The 27,066-nt window shown below is 41.8% G+C and overlaps 1 pseudogene across 2 annotated transcripts in view; it reads right to left on the reverse strand.

Annotated features, from left to right (window-relative positions):
* Nucleotides 1-7,963: 7,963 nt before the first annotated feature.
* ADGRE4P (adhesion G protein-coupled receptor E4, pseudogene) overlaps nt 7,964-27,066 on the reverse strand; it is a 47,094-nt pseudogene continuing 27,991 nt past the window's right edge. The window contains exons 12-17 of one of the 2 annotated variants that reach the window (NR_024075.2): nt 20,816-21,051; nt 18,181-18,247; nt 17,503-17,594; nt 14,250-14,430; nt 11,810-11,905; nt 7,964-10,524 (exon numbers count right to left, since the gene is read on the reverse strand). The product of NR_024075.2 is annotated as an adhesion G protein-coupled receptor E4, pseudogene, transcript variant 1 (transcript). The remainder of the gene's footprint in view (nt 10,525-11,809; nt 11,906-14,249; nt 14,431-17,502; nt 17,595-18,180; nt 18,248-20,815; nt 21,052-27,066) is intronic. The other variant, NR_174976.1, reaches the window with a different exon arrangement.

Genomic DNA, 27,066 nt, shown 5'->3' on the forward strand with positions numbered 1-27,066 from the left:
ACTTGAATAAAGTTTTTTCCTGAGAGAAGATTTGCCTAAGGCTTTGTCTGTCTGTACAACGGTGTTACATGTTGGTCTGAAATATAGTCACCTTAAGAAGCTCTATATTTCTAAGGTAAGTGGATAAAGGTGTGACCTCCATGCAGGATTTTTTTCGTACTACACACATCAAGCTATACTTGGTACATTTTTTTTACCCTTGTGGTCTCATATGTCTCCGCTAGAGGGAGAAAGGAGACAATTAAAAAAAAAATGCGGCCCGGCGCGGTGGCTCACGCCTGTAATCCCAGCACTTTGGGAGGCTGAGGCGGGCGGATCACGAGGTCAGGAGATTGAGAACATCCTGGCTCACCCGGTGAAACCCCGACTCTACTAAAAATACAAAAAAATTAGCCGGGCGTGGTGGTGGGCGCCTGTAGTCCCAGCTACTAGGGAGGCTGAGGCAGGAGAATGGCGTGAACCCGGGAGGTGGAGCTTGCAGTGAGCCGAGATCGTGCCACTGCACTCCAGCCTGGGTGACAGAGCGAGACTCCATCTCAAAAAAAAAAAAAAAAAAAATGCATGAGTAGAAGAAATACGTTCTGAAGTTCACTGGTAGAGTAGGGTGACTATTGTTAGCAACACTGTATTGCATATTTCAAAATATCTAGCAGAGAAAACTTGAAATGTTTCCAACAGCTAGAAATGATCAATGATCAAGATGGTGGACACCCCAAATACCCTGTCTTTATCATTGCAAACTCTGCATGCAACAAAATATCACATGTACCCCATAAATATGTACAGATATTATATATGGAAAACCCTAAGTGGCTGCAAATCCCATGAATATAATGTGAAATAACTTTGCTATCTTATAATCCAAATAATTGTGTACAGAAAATTACAGATCCATTCACTCAAAAAATATTTATTGGCCGGGTGCTGTGGCTCACGCCTGTAATCCCAGCACTTTGGGAGGTCGGAGCAGGCTGATCATGAGACCAGGAGATTGAGACCATCCTGGCTAACACGATGAAACCCCGTCTCTACTAAAAATACAAAAATCAGCCGGGCGTGGTGGCGGGCGCCTGTAGTCCCAGCTACTCGGGAGGCTGGGACAGGAGAATCGCTTGAATCCGGGAGGCGGAGCTTACAGTGAGCCGAGATCGCGCCACTGCACTCCAGCCTGGGTGATAGAGTGAGACTCTGTCTCAGAAAAAAAAATGTATTGACCACCTCTATTGTGCTTCCCCCTCAAACACTGAAGTAGTTAAAAACATTGAAACATTGAAAAGTAATTATTTTAGAACCTAAAAAGTATTTTAAATTTAAGTATTTTATAGTTCCCAAACTAGAATTATTAAAATTATACTTTACTGGTTCTAATGGAAGTAAACTCATCAATAACAGTTTTTAAATTGGTGTCTGAAAAGAAAAATCATTAAAAAAATATTATTTGGCCATACAAAAGGAGATTCCTGCCATTTGCAGCAACAAGAATGAACCTAGAGGACATTACGCTAAATGAAATAAGCCAGGCACAGAAGGACAAATACTGCATGATCTCATATGTGAAATCTGAGAAAATCAAACACACTGAAAGAATAGAATAACGGTTATGAGGAACAGGGATGAGGTGAGGGAGAAATGGAGAGAAGTAGGTCAAAGGGCACATAGTTGCAGTTATGTAGGAAAAATAAGTTTAGAAATCTAATGTACAGCATAAAGACTATAGCTAATGATATTATATTGTATTTATTTCATTTATTTGGATATTTTCTCTATTTTCTTAGTCTAGCTAAAGGTTTGTCAATTTTATCTTTTCAAAAAAACCAACTCTTCTTTTCATTGATTTTTTGACTTGCTTTTCGTCTGTATTTTGTTTATTTATGCTCTGAGTCTTATTATTTACTTCCTTTTACCAATTTTTGGCTTACTGTGTTCTTATTCTTCTAATTCCTCGGGGTGCACAGTTGGGTTGTTTATTAGAAACCTTTCTTCTTTTTGAGGTAGGGTGTTTATTGCTATGAACTTTCCTTTTGCTATGTGTTAGGGGTTTCTGTATGATGTGTTTCCATTTTCATTGGTCTCAAGGAATTTTTAAATTTCCCTTTTAATTTCTTCAATGAGCCATCAGTTATTTAAGAGCATAAGGTCTAATTTCCACATAGCTCTAAGTTTTCCAAGGTTTTTATAGTTGTTGATTTTTAGTTTTATTCCACTGTGGTCCAAAAAGATACTTGATATGATCTCTATCTTCTTAAATATGTTAAGACTTGTTCTGACCAGGCGCAGTGGCTCACGCCTGTAATCCCAGCACTTTGGGAGGCCCAGGTGGGTGGATCATGAGGTCAGGAGATTGAGACCATCCTGGCTAACACGGTGAAACCCCATCTCTACTAAAAATACAAAAAAAAAATTAGCCGTGCATGGTGGCAGACACCTATAGTCCCAGCTACTCGGGAGGCTAAGGCAGAAGAATGGCATGAACCTGGGAGGCAGAGGTTGCAGTGAGCTGAGATTGTGCCACTGCACTCCAACCTGGGCAACAGAGCGAGAGTCTCAAAAAAAAAAAAAAAAAAAAGACATTACATGGACACTAACATGATCTATCCTAGAAAATGTTCCACGTATAGTTGAGAAGAAAGTATACTCTTCACTGGTTGGTTGGAATGTCCTGTAAATGTGTGCTAGACCCATTTGGTCTATGGAATAGTTTAAATCCATGTGTATTTGTTTATTTCTTGACTAGACAATCTGTCTATTGTTGAAAGTGGGATGTCAAAGTCCCCTATAAGTACTGAATTGCAGTCTATCTATCCCTTAGATATAATAACATTTGCTTTATATATTTGGATGCTTTGGCGTTGGGTGTATATATGTTGATGATGGTTATAGCCTCTTGTTGAACTGCTATATCTTTTTTTTTTTTTTTTGAGACAGAGTCTTGCTCTGTCGCCCAGGCTGGAGTGCAGTGGTGCTATCTGGGCTCACTGCAAGCTCCGTCTCCTGGGTTCACTGAACTGCTATATCTTTAACATTAGCTAATGATCTTCTTTGGTTCTTTTTGTTACGATAGTTTTTGACTTATCATCAATTTTATCTGGTATAAGTATGACTTATACCACTCACTTTTGGTTTCTCTTTGCATGATATATCTTTATCCATCCCTTCACTTTCAGTCTGTTTGTCTTTAATGGTGAGGTGAGTCTCTTGTAAGAAGCATACAGTTTGGTCTTTTAAAAATTTCATTCAGCCACTCAATATATTTTTTTTCTTTTTCTTTATTTTTTTTTTTTTTGAGATGGAGTCTCACTCTGTCATCCAGGCTGGAGTGCAGTGGTACAATCTCTGCTCACTGCAACCTCCACTTCCTGGGCTCAAACAATTCTCCTGTCTCAGCCTCCTGAGTAGCTGGGACTACCGGCATGCACCACCACACCCAGCTAATTTTTTTTTTGTATTTTTAGTAGAGACGGGGTTTCACCATGTTAGCCAGGCTGGTCTCAAACTCCTGACCTCAGGTGATCCACCCACCTCAGCCTCTCAAAGTGCTGGGATTACATGCATGAGCTACTGCACCTAGCCCCAAATATTTTAAAACTTTTTTTTTTGAAGCTCTTCATGGTAATCTAGGGTGTTTATGTGTCATAAAGTATTTAATCCCAGTTTGTATCATTTCTAAATTTTCAGTGCTATAAACAACACTGTAATGAACATCTTTGAGCTAAAATTTTAACACTCTACTGCATAAGTGACTTTAAAATTAGTAATAGGTTATAAGTGGGAAGAAATTTATATGTTCCCCTTAGTGTTTGATTAAAGACAAACATTTTTCACTATACAAGGGCTGCCAAAACTTTCCCAAACTGTAAAAAACAAACCATTAGAGGCTGGGCATGGTGGTTCATGCCTGTAATCCTAGCACTTTGGGAGGCTGAGGTGGGTGAATGACTTGAGCCCAGGAGTTCAAGACTAGCCTGGGCAACGTGGCGAAACCCTGTCTCTACCAAAAATACAAAAATTAGCCAGTCTCATAACTGGTCTCTAAATAAATAAATAGATAAAAATTTAAAATAAAATAATTTTAAAAGTAGCCATTAGAAACATAGTAATTTGGCTGGGTGTGGTGGCTCACACCTGTAATCCCAGCACTTTGGGAGGCTGAGGCGGGTGGATCACAAGGTCAGGAGATAGAGACCATCCTGGCTAACACAGTGAAACCCCGTCTCTACTAAAAATACAAAAAAATTAGCCAGGCGTGGTGGTGGGTACCTGTAGTCCCAGCTACTCAGGAGGCTGAGGCAGGAGAATGGTGTGAACCTGGGAGGCGAAGCTTGCAGTGAGCCGAGACCACGCCACTGCACTCCAGCCTGGGCGACAGAGCGAGACTCCATCTCATAAAAAAAAATAAATAAATAGACCAATATAGTAATTTGAAGTTTATTTAATTTTTGCTCCCAGAAAATCTTTCCATCATCAGTTCTAAGCCATCTGGTTGCCTTCTGATGTGACCTTTCTGTTCCATTTTGCCTAAAGTTATTAACTTTTTATTTGTAATACTTGGTATGTTGGATCAATTTCAGATGAGTTCATTGTCTCATTTATCTCTGTAAGTTTACTATCCAGCAGAAGATTGGGGTCACTGATTGGGTTAATAATATTTGTTAAATGAATATATCCAGGAAAGAGAGTGTGTCTATCTACTGCACAGCAACAGAACACTATTCTGATATTCTGTGTCGTGAAGTGATCACTCTTGGTTTTATAAATAACAGATTCTGATTTTCAGAATCTTCAAAACAGATCTCTTTTGTTTAATTTTCCAGTAACAATAACCCTGTGCTCATTCTATTACTAATATTACTATTTATAAAATGACAATAAGTGATTGAGGTCAGGTGTTCTAAAAGCAGAGCCTGAGACCAGGATTGTGGTGCCCATGATTTACTGAGGGAGTGCTTGGAGGAGAAAAGTGAGGGAGTCAGGATGGGGTTGGGAAGTTGGAGGGTAAGGCTATGGTCTCAGCTGGAAGTGATTGCAGCCTGATCTCCGGGGAGCGCTGGAGCATGAGTCATACCTCAGAGTTGGTCTCACTTTGAGTCAAGGGCCCAAGCCTTGTTTATGCCTGTGTCAGTCAATTATTGGCTACATTGCCCCGACAATGGTAGGGCAGTGCGTCACCTTCCAGATGGAGCACTTCCTGTTCAGCTGAAACCAGTTTCCTGGAGAAGAGGATGGGGGCTGAAAAGGAAATTAGGAACGGGCAGCAACAGTACCAGCTACTCTGCTCATGATCATCAAATATGAAAAAGAAAGCTATGAGTCCCTTAGATACTTGATTGAAGTTCACTGTCATGAGATTTTGAACTGCATTCAAAAAAGAGTATTGTTTCTAATGATATTGCAAACTTCTTAGACATTCCAGTAAGCATTTCACTTACTAAAAAAAAAAAAAAAAAATTTTTTTCTGCCATTCACTTAGACTTCTTTTTTTAATGTTTATTTTAGGTTCAGGGTTACATGTGCAGGTTAGTTATATAGGTAAGTTGCATGTCATGGGGATTTCATGCACAGACTTTTTTTAATCATCCAGGTAATAAGCTTACTACCTGATAGGTAGTTTTTTGATCCTCTCCTCTCACCTTCCACCCTCAAGAAGGACCTGGTATCTGTTGTTTGTTCCCTTGTTTTTTTGTTTTTGAGATGGAGTCTTGCTCTGTTGCCCAGGCTGGAGTGCAGTGGTGTGATCTCGGCTCGTCACAACCTCTGCCTTCCGGGTTCAAGCAATTCTCCTGCCTCAGCAGGACACCCAATCCCAGGGAAGTTCAAAGCTAACATAAGATAGAATTCAGTTATTCCCCTAGTTCCTTGTAATTGAATAGAAACATTTTACCAACTTATGTTAATATTATACAATTTTAATCCCTGGATATTGGAACTGGGTCTGACTCACTAACTGAAAACTTTCACGTTTTGTGCTATTCACAATAGCACGTTTCAGAGCTATTGTTTTTCTCATTTTTCTTGCCCTAAATCACCTCAGACATCTGCATTTATTACTGCAACTTTGTCCTTACCTATAAACTAATCCCTAGACCAATGGTTTTCAACTGGGAGCATTTTTGTTCCCAGGTGGCAATGTCTGGAAGCATATATATATACATTATATATATATACACATTATATATATATATACACATTATATATATGCACATTATATATATATACACATTATATATATATACATTATATATATACACAATATATATACATTATATATATACATTATATATATATGAAATAAAAAATATATATTTCAAATAAAAAATATATATTTCAAATTAAAAATATATTTTTTCAAATAAAAAATATTTATATTTCAAATAAAAATATATATATATATATTTTTAAGACAGGGTCTCTCTCTGTAGCCCAGGCTGGAGTGCAGTGGCACGATCTCGGCTCCCTGCAGCCTCCACCTCCTGGGTTCAAGCAATCCTCCCACCTCAGCCTCCTGAATAGCTGGGATTATAGGCGTGAGCCACTGCACCCAGCTGATTTGTTTTGTATTTTTAGTAGATACAGGGTTTCACCATGTTGGCCAGGCTGGAACTCGAACTCCTGGTCTCAAGTGATCCGCCCACCTCAGCCTCCCAAAGTGCCAGCATCACAGGTGTGAGGCACTGCACCCCCCCTCTGGAGGCATTTTTGATTGTCATGACTGGTGGGGAAGTGTCACTGGCACCTACTGAATAAGGCCAAGCTGCTTCTAAACACCTTACAATACAAAGAACAACCCCTTACAAATAAGAAATTATCAGCCGGCGCAGTGGCTCACACCTGTAATCCTAGCACTTTGGGAAGCCGAGGCAGGTGGATCACGAGGTCAAGAGATCGAGACCATCCTGGTCAACATGGTGAAACCCCGTCTCTACTAAAAACACAAAAATTAGCTGGGCGTGGTGGCATGCGCCTGTAGTCCCAGCTATTCAGTAGGCTGAGGCAGGAGAATCGCTTGAACCCGCGAGGCGGAGGTTGCAGTGAGCCAAGATTGCGCCACTGTACTCCAGCCTGGGCAACAAAGCGAGACTCCGTCGCAAGAAAATAAATAAATAAATAAATTATCCAGCCCAAAATATCAATAGCGCAGAGTTTGAGACATAATAATTAGGTGGAGGCCGAGAATATTTAATGTATCATCTCTGCCATTCTTGCCTTCACGAATTTTCTAATTCAGGGAGGCAGGATTTACAAACACACGTGACATCATTTGTGAAACAGCACACCATGTAGAAGGGTAAGTCATGTTGTACAGACCTGAATAAATTGAGTTTAAAAGATGGATTTATTTGAAAGCCTGAATAAGAAATCGGTTTTGAAGGAAGCAGAAGCCAGATTGGCTCTTAAAAAGAATGGAAAAGAATGAGAGAGGCAGGAAGGAAAGAAAGCAGCCGACCGGGAGTGGTGGCTCACGCCTGTAATCACAGCACTTTGGGAGGCTGAGGCGGGCGGATCACCTGAGCTCAGGAGTTCGAGACCAGCCTGGCCAACAGGGAGAAACCTCATCTTTACTAAAAATACAAAATTAGCTGGGTGTGGTGGCGCATGCCTGTAATCCCAGCTACTCGGGAGGCTGAGGCAGGAGAATCACTTGGACCCGGGAGGTGGAAGTTGCAGTGAGCTGAGATTGTGCCATTGCATTCCAGCCTGGGCAACAAGAGCAAAACTCCATCAAAAAAAAAAAAAAAAAAAAAAAGAGAGAGAGAGAAAGAAAAAAAAAAGAACAAGAAAAAAAGAAGAAAGCAGCCTTCAAGTTGGAAGGGAGGAAAAATGGCCAATAGAGGAGTCTGAATTCAAATCTGCAACACCTAGAATACATGGCTTATTTATTCTGTCTTTCTTCAACTGCCATGGACCAGAGAGCAATCGCAACATGACTAGGAATTCGGCACAAGGGTTTCTCAGCTGCCCAGGAATATTGCATTTTACGAAGCCTTTATTCGTGTACATTTGAAATTATGCAAAACAAAAAGTTGCGCTGCATGCACACATTTTGCAACCATGTGAATATCCCTTCATTTTCCCTTTTCCAAAGGAATCCCATAACTTCAAAGCCAGCAGGTGGAGTGGATGTACACTACTCTGTTTATATCTATGGAGGAGACATTTGCTTTAATTAAGCAGAAAAGTCCTCAACCCTTTGTCTGCAACCCTAGAAGAAGACCTCACATGATTTTCTTTTTTTTTTTTTTTTTTTGAGACAGAGTACCACGGCCTCCCAGGCTGGAGTGCAGTGGTGCAATCATAGCTCACTATAGCCTCGAATTCCTGGGGCTCAAGCAATCCTACCGCCTCAGCCTCCTGTGTAGTGGGGAGTACAGCAATGCACCACTATGCTTAGCTAATTTTGTAAATTTTTTGTAGATATGGGGTCTCACTATGTTTTCCAGGGCGTCTCAAACTCCTGGCCTCAAACAATCCTCCTACCTCAGCCCCCCAAGGTGCTGAGATTACAGGCATGAGCCACCGCGCCTGGTTTGAAATTTCTTCAAATAAATGATGATAACTCTTGCCTATTTTAACATTGACAGTCATTAGCATTTAAAATCTTTTTGGAGCTGTTCTGTCATAACAATCATCCACACATTTATTAATATGCTGAAAACATACCTAAAAACCAGTAACTTTGTAAAAGTAATTAGACATGGTAAAACGAAAAAATGAGTCCGAATGACCCACGTTTTTTGTTTCCAGACATTTGTACTGGGACATGTTCAAGAGGACACTAAGAAAACAAAATGATCTTTAACCCATGTGTACATGTAGGTTCCAAAAGTCTCAGGCAGACCGGGCTAGGTCGCTCACACCTGTCATCCTAGCACTTTGGGAGGCCAAGGAGGGTGGATTGCCTGAGACGAGGAGTTCAAGACCAACGTGGCCAACATGGTGAAACCCTGTCTCTACTAAAAATACACAACATGAGCTGGGCGTGGTGGCAGGCGCCTGTAATCCCAGCTACTCAGGAGGCTAAGGCAGGAGAATCTCTTGAACTTGGGAAGCAGAGGTTGCGGTGAGCAGAGATCATGTCACTGCATTCCAGCCTGGGCAACCAGAGCAAAACCCTGTCTCAAAAAAAAATAAATAAATAAATAAAAAAGTCTCAGGCAAAGAAAATGGGGAAAATGTCAGTGTCTTGGACAAAAGAGCCTGCGCAGTGACAATACACCCCTAAGCTAGGATGATAATGCATTTTTGTTTTTGGTTTTTTATTTATTTATTTATTTATTATTATTATACTTTAAGTTTTAGGGTACATGTGCACAATGTGCAGGTTAGTTACATATGTATACATGTGCCTTGCTGGTGTGCTGCACCCACTAACTCGTCATCTAGCATTAGGTATATCTCCCAGTGCTATCCCTCCCTCCTCCCCCCACCCCACAACAGTCCCCAGAGTGTGATGTTCCCCTTCCTGTGTCCATGTGTTCTCATTGTTCAATTCCCACCTATGAGTGAGAATATGCGGTGTTTGGTTTTTTGTTCTTGCGATAGTTTACTGAGAATGATGATTTCCCATTTCATCCATGTCCCTACAAAGGACATGAACTCATCATTTTTTATGGCTGCATAGTATTCCATGGTGTATATGTGCCACATTTTCTTAATCCAGTCTATCATTGTTGGACATTTGGGTTGGTTCCAAGTCTTTGCTATTGTGAATAATGCCACAATAAACATACGTGTGCATGTGTCTTTATAGCAGCATGATTTATAGTCCTTTGGGTATATACCCAGTAATGGGATAGCTGTGTCAAATGGTATTTCTAGTTCTAGATCCCTGAGGAATCGCCACACTGACTTCCACGATGGTTGAACTAGTTTACAGTCCCACCAACAGTGTAAAAGTGTTCCTATTTCTCCACATCCTCTCCAGCACCTGATAATGCATTTTTGTATTGCAAAATGCAACACCCTCTTTAATACTGATCCATATGAAAATTGTTGAATTATGTGAATGTGGAGTGTTAATGTAAGATCTTTGGGAGCATAAAATACAGCAGAGAGGCCAGAAAGGGAACTATGAGCTGAATCCAGATGCCAGTTAGTGAGTTTCTGGCAAGGTGGCAGTAGCTGCAAGAAGAAAATCCACTTCTCCCGCCCGCCATCTTTAAAATGCATCCTTCCGACACTTCATTGCACGTGCCACACTACTGGACTCTGGATCTAAGAATTCTCCCAAATGTCTTGTTCTTTCTATGAACATAAAAAGCCAAAATAGGTGAATGAGCCTAGACTTTTCACAGGAAAGCTAGAAATAGTGGCATTTGTCCAATCTATGTGTGACCACAGGGGCGCTGTAGACAAACGGAAAGGAGCGGTAACTTCCGGGTCATTGCCATGGCACTTGCCAGGTCAGTTCATCTTTAGCCAAGCAGCAGAGACGAGATGAACCTGTGGCTGCGGTTGCTTGGTTGACTCTGCAGATGATGATGCAGTGCCTCCTTTATGAAAGATTTCTGAGGACTTCCCCACTTCTTCCTACTTGCGGGGAAGATAATAAGGAGAAAAGGTGACAGAGAAATTAACTAAAACTTCTAACTTGCCCAGAGATGACAAGCTAGGATTTCTGTTAGGTCCAAAGCTCAATATCTGACATTACAACTTCCCATCCTCCAAAAAAAACTCCACCATCTAATAATGGTTATTTTATTTGATCTTTTCACAAACATTTACAGGGGCTTCCTGTGGTGCCAGGCAGCCTTCTAAGCGCTTAACTTATTTGACATCATTTAATCTTCACAATGAGAAGTGCTACCCTTGCTAAGAAGCTCTTTATCCCAAATAAAGCTCATATCTTTGTAATAGCTCCATGGTCTTAGCATTCAGGCTGCCGCAAGGGGCAAACCCAGTTTCACGAGTCACAGCACTTAGGAATCTGTGGTTTCTGACCAAAAAGAGTCTCTTCCTAGCCCTCCAAATCTAGGTAATTTCACAAACCGGAGGTCGTTTTTATCATACACAGCCTTCAGATTTTTGGTCAAGTGCCAGCTTCTTGTAGTCACCTTATTTAAAACTGGAATCCTCCCACCCTGTCATTCCTGGCTGCTCTCCATTGCTCTATTTTTTCTAAAGCATTTATCACTTTCTAATACCATAAAATTCACTTTTTGGGGTCTGTTGTCAGTTCCCTCACCCAACTAGAATGTTAGCTCTGTGAGGTCAAGGACTACTGTCAGTGGGTCCACTGATGGTTCTCCAGCACCTAAACAGTGCCTGGCACATAGCGGACAATAAATAGGTGTTAAATGAGTGTTGTTAATAAATTAAACTTTTTTTGTTAAATATCCCTTGGATGTTTGTTGAAGGAAGAAATGAAAAGAGAGAGGAAGAGAAGGAGGGAGTGATAGAAAGAATGAAACAGAGAGTTAGAAACGAGAGAGGAGGAAGGGAGAGAAAAAGATAGATGGTGTAAAAGAGAGTGAGAAAGAAATAAAACGTAAGGAAGGAGAGGGAAACCAGGAATGAGGGAGAGGAAGAGACTGAGAGAGAGCAAGAAAAAAGGGAGAAAAGGAAGGAAGGAAGGAGGAAAGGAGGGAAGGAAGGAGGGAGGGAGGGAAGAAAGGAGGGAGGAAGGATGGAAGGAAGGAAGGAAGAAAGGAAGGGTGGGTGGGTTCTGGTTTTGGTCTCAAAACCCAGAAACTTCAGCTGCATAATACAGGAACCTAATGCAATTTCTCTTTTCTTTCAGATCAAGGAACCAGAAAGCTTCTAGAGGCATGAGATGTCGGATTCCAATAAAGCACTCAGAAGGAGCTGATCTTACCGTTTTGGTTTGGGTAGTAGAGCGAGACATCTCAGTGCTTTCAGTTTCTACCCCTTTCCGCATCCCACTAAACCACTTTTTATATTCCATTCGAACCTGGAAATTTGAGTGGAGAGGTCCGTGTTACATCCAGAGCTTGGTTTGGGAGAAAGGATCCTAAAATGGGAGGCTAAAGATAAAGACACCAAGCCCTACTCTCTAGTTTTCCATATAATCTTGGCCATGCCCATGTTGATTCATTTTATTTAAACTCAAACTTCTCAGTTGTAAAAAAGATGTGTATTAAATATCAGACACTATAGGACTCAATAGATGATGATGATGATGGTGATGAAGGTGACTGTTGATGATAGTGGTGGTGGTAATGAAAGTAATTAAGATGATGATGGTGATGATGAAGGTGATGGTAATGGTGATGATGGTGATGAAGGTGATAATGATGAAGATGATGATAAAGGTAATGAAATTGATGATGGTGAAGGTGATGGTAATGGTGATGATGGTGAGGGTGATGATGAAGATGATGACAATGAAGGTGATGATAGTGATGATGATGGTGAAGGTGATGATGATGAAGTTGATGATAATGGAACGGACGATGGTAAAAGTAGCGGTGATGATTAAAATGATCATGATGAGGGTGATGATGGTGATGTTGATGAAGGTGATGGTAGTGAAGGTGATGATGAAGGTCATGGTGATGGTGGTGATAGTGATGATGAAAGTAATGTGAAGGTGATGATGAAGGTGATGGTAATGGTGATGATGGTGATAGTGATGATGGTGATGGTGATGATGGTGATGGTGATGATGAAGATGATGAAGGTGATGATGGTGAAGGTGATGATTATAAAGGTGATGGTGATGACAGTGATGATGATAAAGGTGATAATGAAGGTTATGGTAATGGTGATGATGGTGATGGTGATGATAGTAAAGATGATGAAGGTGTGATAAAGGTAATGAAGGTGGTGATGGTGAAGGTGATTATTATAAAGATGATAATGGTGATAATGACAAAAGTGACTATGGTGATGATGGTTAGATGATAATGGTGGGGGTGTTGGTGATTATATGATGGTGAAGGTCACCATTTATTGAACACTAGCTATATTCAAGACACTGTATATGCAATATATCATTTAATTCTTACATAAATGGAGTAAGAAAGACATTTCTCCTACCCACAATTAAAGATCCGAAGTTGAGACTCTTGCAGTTAAATTGATATGCCCAAGGTCACACAGCCAGGACTCGAAACCTTGTCATCTTACTCAGAGCCCTGACGCTAACCATTACAATCACCCATCCTCTGTGATTCCAAGAATTGCCTTCCTCTAACCTCCTTAACATGCTAAAAATGACATTTAAAGATTTAATGCTCGACATCATTTCACAAGGACAATTAAATTATATTTTACTTCTTCTGTGAGTGAGAAGTACCAAGCATGAAGGCACTAAAAGATTGAAGAGAAATTAATGACGTGTTAAGATAGCCTTTTGCCACTAGCGTCTTAACTGCTGGTAGTTTTATTCAACAGCAAAGGGAAAATGCCAGGAAAATTTGTCCTAATTTTCTATGGAGAGTAAAATTGAAATAACACTCACTGAGATCTTAATAACAACACTAACTGAGATCTTAATGTGTGCTAAGGACTATGTTAGGAGTTTGCACTGATTCATTTAAGTCTTCAACCCTGTAATGAAGGCATCACCACATCTGCAGATGAGAAAACTACAGATGATGCTCAGAAAGGATAGGCGGTTTACCCAGAGTCACACAGCCACCTACTCAGTGGAAGAACTGGGATTAGACTTGAAGTCTCTTTGAGTTTGTGGTAGATTGTGCCACATATTTCAGCATCACTTCTTGTAGTGCCCCTCACTACAGAAGGATTATTCATCCCCTTCTTGGTGAACTGAGGTATGGCCATGTGACTTGCTTTGACTAATTAAATGAGAGCAGAACAGAAGTGCACCACTACTAGGTAGAAGCTTTAAGAGAGCTAAGCTGTGCTTTCCCACAATCTCCTTTTCCTGTGCCATGAAACCATCAATGTTCTAAAAAGGGGGCCACACCTTCAGCCTGCACTCCAGAGGAAAGACGATGTGGGTTAAGTCACAGTTATGTAGCACAAGCAAGAAATAAATATTTATTGTTTTAAGTTGCTAAGATTAAGTGTGGGAGGCAAGGGGCTATTTGTTATTGCAGCATAATCCACTTTATCCTGACTGACCCATGCTCTTCAGGATATGTTAGGATGCTAAACAGATGAAACCCACAGCATACAGCATACCCCAGCAGCACCTAAACCCTCATCCCCAAATCAAGACAAACCCAAAATACAATTATAAAAGGTCAGGGAAGAGTGAGAACGTGAACAACCATTCAATTAGACTTTGGGACTAGGCTGATGACAGACAAAATAATTAGCCTTACCTGGCGATTAAGGAGACAGTGTACCACAAAGAGCAACACTCCCTGAAGGGTGTTGATGATGGTGAATGAGTATGCAATGATTGATCCAATCGTCTTCCCTACTTCTTCAACCATAAAAAAACCAAGGCCCCAAGAACAGCCCAGGATAAATAGCTGAGAAATGGCTTTAAATGTCATGACTCTGCAGGGAATAAAAGTAATAATAACTACGGTTTACCAGGTATCCACTACAAGTGCTAACTAAATGCTCTGTGTGCATTCCCTTATTTAAATCTCACAACAGCTTCATGCAGTTAAGTGACGTATACAACAAGGTCACACAGCTTGAGGATGAAGTGGAACCCATGACTTCAGTCATGGCAAATCACTGAGAATAGTGCTTTCTCCCCACCGTTGAAAATAATTTGATTTCTCTGCATGTCTTCTGCCTAGATTTTTTGGAAGATTTATGGGAAAATGCCTTCTAGAAATTTGTATTAAAACATTTGAATAATGGTGAATTCCTGACTTTAGAACATAACATAATGTTGGGTTTCTTCACACAAAGTATATTGTGTTTCATATAATGGAGTGGGATTGTTGATGGCAGCTGGCTGGGAGAGCTGATGAGTGTGTGTGTGTATAGGTGTGTGTGTGTGTGACTTCACTTTTTACTTTTTGTGTTACCCCCTGGGAATATAAACTCTATGAGGGCAGGGATTTTGGTCTGTTTTACTCACTGCTTTATCTCCAGTCCTTAGAACAATGCCTAGCACATAGTAGATACTCAATAAATATTATGGTTTGTGATAAACTTGCTAATTAGTCCTTCCTGTTCCTGATTTGGTTCCTAGGTTTTCCACAACTGCTATCTAGCTTGGTGATTTTTCTTACATCCAGCCCTCCTTCCATTTGCACTTACAGAAAGATATATACTTATAGAAAAGACAGAAAACCTACCTATGTCCACATTTAGGAGACAGCATAATCACTGGTATATGAGGATTCTCCCATGACAACTTTCTCTTTGGCCTAAATGGTGCCATATGGCTTCATCCCCACTGACCATAGCCAGTTGCCCCACAGTAGACACCTGACCTATAAGGAGTCAATCAATCCATTTTCCCCCCAGCCAACCAGATTTTGTCTCTTAAGCATTTGAAGTAAGAGGCTTGGAGAATGGACCTGTGAGACGCCTTTGAGGTGGCTCTGCCCTGTTCATCAGCTGTGGGAAGTCAGTCTGCAGGGAGAAGAGGACAGAGCCAAGGTGCAGGAAAGGGAGCCATAAATATGCGATTTTTTTTTTGAGATGGAGTCTTGCTCTGTTGCCCAGGCTGGAGAGCAGTGGCACGATCTCGGCTCACTGCAACCTCTGCCTCCTGGGTTCAAGCGATTCTCCTGCCTCAGCCTCCCAAGTAGCTAGGACTACAGGCGTGTGCCACCACCATGTCTGGCTAATTTTTGTATTTTTAGTAGAGACGGGGTTTCACCATGTTGGCCAGGATGGTCTCGATCTCTTGACCTTGTGATCCACCCACCTCGGCCTCCCAAAGTGCTGGGATTACAGGCATGAACCACCGCGCCCAGCCAGATATGCGATTCCATATCACAATGGTTAATTCTGGAGCTTAGGAGACAAAGGGACTCAAGTGGATGGGGGCTTCTAACAGATCTGGAACAAGTCTCTCAACAACTCTTTCCCAGCCTCCCCTTCCTGCCATGATGTCTGAAATTTCTAGAATCCAAGTCCTTCCTATTGAAAGAGCATGATGTTTCCACCATGTCAATGTTAACCTCGGATTTATTACTTAGGAAATAGACGAGATAGTTAATCTCTACCCCAAAGTGTGACATTAACCTAGTGTAGCACAACAGGGTAACTGTCTATTCACCAGCAAGAGGAAGAGGTTGGCAGCAGGGCATGGCTGCTGGGATGAGGTCAGACATGGAGCTTGCTGTTTGCAGTTCTAAGGAAGAAGTGAGCCCTTACAGGGTAAGGAATTGAGAAATGGGGGGATGGGGAAACACCAAGAAGGGTGGCACTTTGACCCTCAAGAATTGAGGAAACCAAATTTAAGAAATGTCAGACTGGTCTGATAAGTAGAGGAGTCTTGAGACAGGGTCTGAAATTAGACAGTCCTTTAATTTTCATGCACGTGACTCACCAATGCAAGATCCTTACCCACTCTTGGGGTAAGGATCCAGCATCTATCAAGATTCTATTGAATATTAGCTTTTGTCATCATTATTTTTAATAGCATAGATTGGTACCCATGAGAATTGAGTTTCTACAACCAAAGAACATGGAGTCCAGGTAGGGTGCGGTGTGGTTCATGCCTGTAATCCCAGCACTTTGGGAGGCTGAGGCGGGTGGATCATCTGAGGTCAGGAGTTCGAGACCAGCCTGACCAATATGGCAAAAGCCTGTCTCTACTAAAAATACAAAAATTAGCCAGGCATGGTGGCGTGTGCCTGTAGTCCCAGCTACTCAGAAAGCTGAGACAGGAGAATTGCTTGAACCCAGGAGAATTGCTTGAACTCGGGAGTGGGAGGTTGCAGTGAGACGAGATGGTGCCGCTGGACTCCAGCCTAGGCAAAAGAGTGAGACTCAGTCTCAAAAAAAAAAAGAAAAGAAAAGAAAAAGAAAAGGAAAGAAAACGGAGTCCAGGGGCATATGGGCTCTTGGTGGAGTGAGAGGAGGATGTTGATACTCTTGGAATTAATTTCATAATAAGAGTGTGTTATACAAAGGAGGCACTTGATAAATGTTTATTTTTCTTTTCTTTTTTTTTTTTGAGACCGAGTCTCGCTCTGTTGCCCAGGATGGAGTACAGTGACATGATCCGTAGCTCACTGCAGCCTCAACCTCCCCAGCTCAGGTGATTCTCCCTTTGCAGCCTCCCAGATAGCTGGGACTGCAGGCGCACGCCACTATGCCCAGCCAATTTTGTAAATTTGTTGTAGAGACAGGGGTCTCAGTATGTTGCCAGGCTGGTCTTGAGCAGCTGGACTCAAACAGTCCTGTCACCTCAGCCTCCTCAAGTGCTGGGATTACAAGTGTGAGTCACTACACCCAGCAGGAATATTTATTGAATAAGGAAATGAAGTTACCTGAAAATCAGAGTTTCTATTTCTTCTATAAATTGTCCTTCACATGCTCTTTATCGCGTACCAGAATAATTTATATCATATTTCTGCTTGGGTTCTTTCTTTCCCAAAAGAGCAGCCACGTAGGAATAATGTTTGGGTACCACTGATTCTGATGCCTTCTTACCTGGTGTCCTGAATGGTGGAAACTTCTTTATTGAGGGAGGAAAGTTTGCTTCTCAAAATCCACAGAACTTGGAAGTAGAACACCAGGTTTATCTGTGGGAACCGCATGAAAAAAGTGACTTGGAATTTTCTTTTGGAGCCATTTTATACAATCTAATTTGAGGAGGGCCTAAGAATCTTTTCCCAAAAGACACAGGTTTTATAAAGATGGTATGCACATATGTTCTGGTCTATTACGTACAACACGCAGCATATACCCTGTAGCATTTGGTGCTTGATTAGGTAACTATCGAATTTATCATTCAAACCAGGAGACTTTGAAAGTGGAAAGGTGCTATTAATGTCTCTACCAGGGAACAGGTGTCATCAGAAAGTTTCCGGCAAACAGGAAACCATGTCACCCTGTGTAGAGAAGCCAACCATTAAATATTTGTTGAATGGAATGAATAACAGCATTTTGAAAAGAAGTCCCAGGAGAGGTGATATTATTACATCAAAGCAACAAGTGAGCCAGGAGGAATCCAAGGAAAGAAAAGTGGAGACAGTACTTTCAGGAAGAGGGGCTGATCACATTAAGCTGTTATTTCTTATCTTCATCTCATTTCCCCTTAGATAAGAAAAACATTTTGTATGCTTGGTCAACCTAAGGCGGGCACACCCATAAATAATTATCGCCTACCAAGATAATGACTGCTACTGGCCCCATGAAGCTCCAGATGAATCCTTTATCAAGCTTGAGCCAACAGCTGTTGAGACAGAGAGAAGCATTAGCTGCCTCTTCCTTGGGAGAAGGCAGAGAACTTGAATACAGGCTCCTGGGGCAAGATGTGAACAGGGCCAGGAGTTACTTCGGTCAGAATCCTGAATTTTAGATGGAGTCAGATGTGAGTTCTCATTTGATGCAGGTGCATGCTCTGAGGCTGAGTTTTTTCAAGTGTATAATAGAGCTAATCAAAGTACTGGAAAGATTAAATGATGACCGTAGCTGTCTACTGAGGCTTGAAGTCAGGGAATGTCAGTTCTCTGGCTTCATTGTTCTCCTTCTAAATAGAGTTGGTCATTCTAGGTCTTTTGCCTCCTTTATCTAAACTTCAGAATCCGTTTGTCCAATATCCACAAAATAATTTTCTGGGAATTTGATTTGGAGTGTGTTGGATCTATAGATCAAGTTGGGAAGAAGTGCCATCTTGACAACGTTGAGTCTTCTTATCCATGAACATAGAATATCTATTTGGATATCCTTTGATTTTTTTCATCAGAATTTTGTCACTGCCTTCATATAGAACTTGTAGGAAAGATTAAATAAGATAATGTGCTTAAAGTTTTTGAGTACAGTTCCTAGCAATGAGTTAACGGTAATAAATGTAGTTAGCAAGTTGATAATGATTGCTATAATGAGAAAGATAGTAAAAACGATAACTACAGCTATAAAAACTAACTCTAATTAAGCATATTGCATGCACCAGGTACTCTGTTGTCCAGATAATTTGTATTCTTTCTTGGCTTATGATGGCAAAGGTAGCATACCTTATTTTTAAAGGGAAGCTGAGAGCCTGAATCTCTAACATTCAGTAGGCAGAAAAGCTTCCAAACTTAAGTTCTATCCGAAGGGCTGCCAACTATGGCCCACGGGTCTGATCCAGCCCGCCACTTGCTTTCATAAGTTTTACTGAAAGACAATCAACTCATTCGGTTACATATTGTCAATGCTGCTTTCACACTACATGGGCAACATTGAGTAGTCACCTCAGAGACCTTGTGGCCAGCAAAGCCAAACATATTTACTGTCTGGCCTTTTATGGAAAATGTTGGTTCCAAATCTTTGCTATTGTGAATAGTGTCACAATAAACATACGTGTGCATGTGTCTTTATAGCAGCACGATTTATAATCCTTTGGGTATATACCCAGTAATGGGATGGCTGGGTCAAATGGTATTTCTAGTTCTAGATCCTTGAGGAATCGCCACACTGTCTTCCACAATAGCAACCCAAATGTCCATCAGTGATAGACTGGATTAAGAAAAGGTGGCACATATACACCATGGAATACTATGCAGCCATAAAAAAGGATGAGTCAATGTCCTTTGTAGGGACATGGATGAAGGTGGAAATCATCATTCTGAGCAAACTATGGCAAGGACAGAAAACCAAAGACCGCATGTTCTCACTCATACGTGGGAACTGAACAATGAGAACACTTGGACACAGGGTGGGGAACATCACACACCGGGGCCTGTCGTGGGGTGGGGGTAGGGGGGAGGGATAGCATTAGGAGATATACCTAATGTAAATGACGAGTTAACGGGTGCAGCACACCAACATGGCACATATATACATATGTAACAAACCTGCATGTTGTGCAAATGTACCCTAGAACTTAAAGTATAATTAAAAAAAAAAAACCACCAAATTTCCATCTTCCATAATAGAAAAAAATCAGAAGGGAGTACCTAAAATTGTAAAAAAAAAAAAAAAAAAAAAAAAAAAAAAAAAAAAAAAAAGAAAAGAAAATGTTGGTCAACTCCTCTACCGTTCTATCTCCAGCATTCTGGTAGGACATAGAGTTCAAGCTGGAAACAAAGCACCTCTTTGACTTTAAGAGGACAAAGCACCTCTTTGACTTTAAGAGGGACAACATTGGGAGGCCGAGGCAGGCAGATCACCTGAGGTCTGGAGTTCAAGACCAGCCTGGCCAACCTGGTGAAATCCCGTCTCCACTAAAAAATACAAAAATTAGCAGGGCATGATAGCGGGTGCCTGTAATCCCAGCTACTCAGGAGGCCAAGACGGGAGAATTGTTTGAAACCGGGAGACGGTTGCAGTGAGCTGAGATCACACCACCGCACTCTAGCCTGGGCAGGTGAGCAAGACTCTGTCGCAAAAAAAAAAAAAAAAAAGGGACAACAGTAACTAACATACATGATGTTTTAGTGTGTGCACAACCTACTTCCTAACCCAAGCACCATTAACAAAATATTGACTTCTTCAACTAACTGTTGTGTGTTGAGTTTTGCAAGCTTCATTACTGAAGCAATAAAACATGGCTATTCAGACTATTTCCTTGAAAATTCTGACTTACTTGCCTTGCAGCTCTGACTTTGGGGAAGTTTATGAAATGCACTCAGGCCCAGGTGTCCTGTGCGTAAGAAAATAAACTGCTGACGTCATAGGGTCATGGTGAGAATGGCATGAGCTACTGCATAGAGGAAGCACGATTTTTGATGCACCATAGGGCTTTGATAGTTGTAATATTGGTGTTATTCTTTACAGTAGCCATTGCTACTACCATCATAAAGACACACATTATGCTTACTGAGTAAATGTTCCATAATTCTGGGGTCCAACTATTGCTGACACAGCAATAATCACAGCTGGGATCCCGTAGCCTACAGGGTACATGAACCTCTTCTTGAATCTGCCCGTGCTGGTGTAGTTGGCCACCTTGAGGTTCCTGACGGTGAGGAAGAGGTGCAGCCCTTCCAGGAGCATCCAGGTGAAGCAAGCCAGGTAGAGGAAGTGCAGCAGCCCTGCAATGATGGAGCACAGCACCTGGAGGGAACAGAAGAGTTAGGGGTGTGCAGCAGATGTGGTCTGTACCTGATTATATGCTCAGCACTTAGCATTTCCTGGATGTGGCCTGGAATTTCAATTTGAGCATCTGTAACATTTTGCCTGGGGGCTACACATTTTCTGAAGACTTCTGCTAGCCATTGAAGTCTGTTTACATCATGCATAGAGCAGGGTAGAAACCCAAGGAATACATGTCGTGGGAACAGCCCCCAAATGTATAATAAACAAAAATTGGTAGAATCTACCAATCTAAGACATGTGCTCTACACTGCCCCCTGGAGATCCTCGGTGGAATTGAGCTCCAAATGTCTATAGTGGAAACATCTATTGGCTAGGTGCGGTGGCTCATGCCTGTAATCCCCAGCATTTTGGGAGGCCGAGGTGGGTGGATCACCTGAGGTCAAGAGTTTGAGACCAGCCTGGCCAACATGGTGAAATCTTATCTCTACTAAAATTACAAAAATTAGGCAGGTGTGGTGGTGCACGCCTGTAATCCCAGCTACTTGGGAGGCTGAGGCAGGAGAATCGCTTGAGCCTGGGAGGCAGAGGTTGCAGTGAGCTGAGATTGTGCCATTGCACTCCAGCCTGGGTGAAAAGAGTGAGACTTCATCTCAAAAAAAAAAAAAATTTCATGTGCTGATGTTCTAATCCCCAGTATCACAGAAGGTGAGTGTACTTGGAGACAGGGCTCTTCAAGAGGTCATTATGTTAAAATAAGTTCAGATATGTGGGCCCTAATCCAATACAAGTTATGTACATCTAAAAATAGATTAGGCCGAGGAGGGTGGATCACCTGAGGTTGGGAGTTCAAGACCTGCCTGACCAACATGGAGAAACCCCCTCTCTACTAAAAATACAAAAATTAGCCAGACGTGGTGGCTCACGCCTGTAATCCCAGCTACTCTGGAGTCTGAGGCAGGAGAATCGCTGGAACCCGGGAGGCGTAAGTTGCGATGAGCTGAGATTGTGCCATTGCACTCCAGCCTGGGCAACAACAGGGAAACTCCATCTTAAAAAATAATAATAAATAAATAAAAATTTAAAAATAGGAGATTAGAGTGCAGACACACACAAAGGGATGACCAAGTGAGAACACAGGGAGAAGATGGCCATCAACAAGCCGAGGAGAGGCGTCTCAAAAAAAGCCAACCCTGCTGACATCTTGATCTCAGACCATGAGCCTCCAGAATTGTAAGAAAATTAATTTCCATTGTTTAAATCACTCCGTTTGTGGTACCTTGTTATGGCAGCCAGAACAAATGAATATACTTTTATAGAAGTCATGCTTCATGATTTCTCATAATTCTCCAGATGTGTTCACAGACACAAAATTTTCCATTCAATGTGCGGAATAAGGCTTCCATTTCTAATCGTGATAACATAATGAGGATGGGATTTACCCTCCCACATTAAACAACTAAATGCTAAATGACATGTATGACATTATGAGTTACAGATATTGGAGAATAGGCATTGAATATTTATGTTTACAGTGATTTCTAAAAGGAGGGAAAGGCCGGACAAGGTGGCTCACGCTTGTAATCCCAGCACTTTGGGAGGCCAAGGCATGTATCACCTTAGGTCAGGAGTTCGAGACCAGCCTGGCCAACATGGTGAAACCCCATCTCTACTAAAAATACAAAAATCAGCCAAGTGTGGTGGCATGTGCCTATAATCCCAGCTACTCGGTAGGCTGAGGCAGGAAAATCACTTGAACCCGGGAAGTGGAGGTTGCTGTTAGCCGAGATCAAGCCACTGCATTCCAGCCTGGGTGACAGAACAAGACTCTGTCTAAAAAAATAAAAAAAATAAAAAATAAAAACAAATAGAAAAAGAAACCTACCCTATCAACACATAGACCGTAGACTTCTGGCCTCCAGACCTGTGAGACAATAAATTTATATTGCTTAAGCCGTCCATATGGTGGCTCTTCATTATGACAGCTCTAGAAAATGGAGACAGAGACCAAGTTATCTAGAATGTATGAGGCAGGCTGGGCGCAGTGGCTCACATCTGTAATCCCAGCACTTTCGGAAGCCAAGGCGGGTGGATCACCTGATGTCAGGAGTTTGAGACCAGCCTGGCCAACATGGTGAAACCCCGTCTCTACTAAAAATACAAAAAAAAAAAAAAAAAAGAAAAGTAGCTGGGCATAGAGGCAGGCACAATAATCCCACCTACTTGGGAGACTAAGGCAGGAGAATCACTTGAACCCGAGAGGTGGAGGTTGCCGTGAGCGGAGGCTGCGTCATTGCACTCCAGCCTGGGCAACAAGAACAAAACTTTATCTCAAAAAAAAAAAAAAAAAAGAATTTATGAGGCAAAATACCACAGGGTAGGGAGCTACAGTGGGGTTGGGAAGCGGGGAAGGGGAGAGATTGGCAGAGGGTTTGATTACTTATCAGCAAATGCTTGCAAGGAGACTAACCAAAACTAGGAGAAGGCTCCTAAAGAGGAGTAGGCAGAACAATCTTCTGAGTTCACACAGAACTGGAAATAGCTTGTTCCTATTGTCCAAATGGTTTGTTCCTATTACCCAATTTTACCTGAAGTTCTGTGTGTTAGGGGAGTCTGATATACAGATTCCCTGTATGTTAGAGCAGATTTTCTGTAAACAGGCTCTCTGTATGTTAGAGCAGACTCTCCTAACATCCAGAATTTCAGGTAAAATTATCAGGAGAGTATTATATCATTAATGGGGCCAAATGAGCCCTAGACGAAAGAGAATTCCGTGACCACTCTATTCAATCTTAGAATCAAGACTTGAATGTATCAAACTGTTTCCAAGTCACTTAATTATGTCCCCTCAAAAGCCTAAAACTGTTTAAATAATTTTTTTGAAAAGATACAGCACTCATAATTTAAAATTCACCAAGAATGGCATTCAAACAAAAAATAGCAGGCATGCAACAAAGCAGGTAAATCCAATCAGGTAATATACACACATCCTACTATTTCTGTCTCTCCAGAAACCCTGACTAACACAGCCTCTTAACTACCAAATCCAGCAGTCTCTCTACTTGGCGTTTCTGTTTGTTTTTGTGTGTTTGTTTGTTTGTTTGTTTGTTTTGTTTTGTTTTTTGTTTTGAGACAGAGTCTTGCTCTGTCACTCAGGCTAGAGTGTAGTGGCATGATCTCGGCTCACTGGAACCTCCACCTCCCAGGTTCAAGCGATTCTCCTGCCTCAGCCTCCAGAGTAACTGGGATTACAGGCACGTGCCACCATGCCTGGCTAATTTTTGTATTTTTAGTAGAGACGGAGTTTCACCATGTTGGCCAGGCTGGTCTGGAACTCCTGATCCACCCGCCTTGGCCTCTCAAAGTGCTGGGATTACAGGCATGAGCCACTGTGCCCGTCCTTCTACTTGGCCTTTCAGCAGAAGCTGATCAACCTAGTTGGCACTTTCTGTCCTTTGATGTCCTGGACATTCATCTATCCAGGAATTCTCACCTGCTTATCTTTGAGTCTTCTCGTCTATCTCATGTATCTTCCTCCTCCCAATCTTTAGATTACAGGCGTGAGCCACCACGCCTGGCCTGAATTTGCTTTTCCTGTCCCTGAATTAACTGAAGTTTTATTCAAAATTTTGTGTATAGGTACATTTGTCTGGGAAAAAGGGCTTTAGCTTTCAACAAAATTCTCAGAGGGATCCAACTTCAAAGATGCTGAGAACCATTGCTCTGGGGATTTTCAAGAGAAAATAGAATTCAGGCTTAAGGAAGAACTGGTTTGAAGTATAATTGGCAATTAAAATGTGGACTAGGCTGGGGTGACTTCTAAGCCTTTGTGTCCCCATCCAGAATGTGGAGACTGTGGCTCCTACATCCTGGTGGTCCCTACCTCATAGGTGTTTGCAGAGGGCCTGGCACCTGTGAAGACCCTCCTTACTGAGTGGCCTCTATTCTGAGAGCATGGCCTCAAGGACTCTGGAGAGAATTATGGAGAGACCACGTGTGGAACTTTCTTCCTCCTGTCCCAACGCCCCCTCTTCCTCTTCCTCCTCCTCCTCCCTCTACCGCCTCCTTCCTCCTCCACAGAGCTTTATTCTTAATCCATTTTACTTATCACTGATCGTTATTTCTGTAGCTTGAAGTGTCTCCTTCGTGTAGAAAACTCCAATATCCCTTTCTCCTGCTTCAATCTCTCCTGGGCTCAAAATTCCTATTTCCAATTTTCTATTGTATGTCTCAATTCCAGTGTCTGACCAGCACCTCTAACTAACAGATTTAAACCCGAATTCATTCTATGTCTCGCTCCAAGTCTGTTCCTCTTTCTCGCCATCCATCTACCCAACCTCCCAAATGGGAGACCTCTAATTCATCCTTATTTCTGCTTTCTCACACACACACCACTTCCACATCTATTTGGGCCTCAAGTCTTACCAACTCCCCTTACAAACATTTCTAAAATCTGGCCCACTTCCTTTAGCAGTGTTCATGTTTTTATTTTTTTATTTTGTTTTATTTTTTGAGATGGAGTCTCCCTCTGTCACCCAGGCTGGAGTGCAGTGGCATGATCTCCGCTCACTGCAACACTTGCCTCCCGGGTTCAAGCAATTCTCCTGCCTCAGTCTCCCAAGTAGCTGGGATTACAGGTGCCCGCCACCACGCCTAGCTAATTTTTTGTATTTTTAGTAGAGACGGGGTTTCACCATGTTGGCCAGGCTGGTCTCGAACTCCTGACCTAGTGATTCACCCACCTTGGCCTCCCAAAGTGCTGGGATTACAGGCGTGAGCCACCGTGCCAGGCCCATATTTTTATTAACTCCCACTTAGACCATTCATAGCCCTGTTGCTATTCTTTCTGCTGCTAGTTTCATCTCACTGCAGTTATCTTTACCTTCAACTTTTGTTGTCCTGATAAGTATTTTCTGTCATTCCCAGCTTGAAGTCCTTTCCACTGCTGCCTTGAGCAGGGTTAGGAAATCAGTGGCTTTGGGCCAGTTCTGGCCCAGTATCTGTTTTTATAAGTAAAGTTTTATTAGCACATGGCCACACACATTCATTTACTTTTATCTGTGGCTGCTTTTTTTTTTTTCTTTTGAGACAAAGTCTCGCTCTGTTGCCCAGGCTGGAGTGCAGTGGCGCAATCTCGGCTCATTGCAAGCTCCGCCTCCCAGGTTCAAGTGATCCTCCTGCCTCAGCCTCCCGAGTAGCTGGGATCACAGGTGCCCACCAAAGGTCTGGCTAATTTTTTGTATTTTTAGTAGAGGCAGGGTTTCACCATGTTAGCCAGGCTGGTCTCAAACTCCTGACCTCAGGTGATCCACCCACCTCGGCCTCCCAAAGTGCTCGGATTAGGCGTGAGCAACCGCACCTGGCCTCAGCACATGTTTCTAAGCTGTGAACTCTATGGGGAAAGTAACTGAGGTAGTTCCCCTAGTCCCCTAATTATTAATGTATTTGCAACACAATGCCTGACACACAGTGGGTATTTTTAAAATATCCATCAAATGAATAAATAAATAAAATAAGAGGTAGGATTTTAGAGCATTATATAAAAGCATATATTTTCAAGATGACTAAGTCAACTCCATCTTACCCACAATATTATTTTTACAGTTTTTAAAAACATCATTTGAAAATTTTATCAGAGAAGTAATTAGTACCTTCCGAGCACTTAACTATGGGTGAACACTGATCAAATTGCTTTGTTAAGTATTAACTCATATTATTGTCTCAATACTCTGAGACAAAAAAATTTTAAGGGCCAAATTTTAAGCTATGCAGTCAAATCTCTATTGCAATTACACCATTCTGCCATTGTAGCGTAAAAGCAGCCACAAACAATATATAAATGAATAGATGAGGCTGTGTTTTAATAAAACTTTATTTACAAAAACAGAAGGTGGGCCAGATTTGGCCTGAGGACTGTGTCTTCCCAACCTCTGCCTATTTTCAAATGAAACACCAAGAGGTTAAAATCTGGCCCCCAAATCTCACAGCGAGTAAAAAATAAAATTGGATTTGAACCTAAACTATCTCCAGAAAATG

The sequence above is a fragment of the Homo sapiens genome, chromosome 19 (genome assembly GCF_000001405.40).
Source record: "Homo sapiens chromosome 19, GRCh38.p14 Primary Assembly".
NCBI classification, from domain to species: Eukaryota; Metazoa; Chordata; class Mammalia; order Primates; family Hominidae; genus Homo; species Homo sapiens.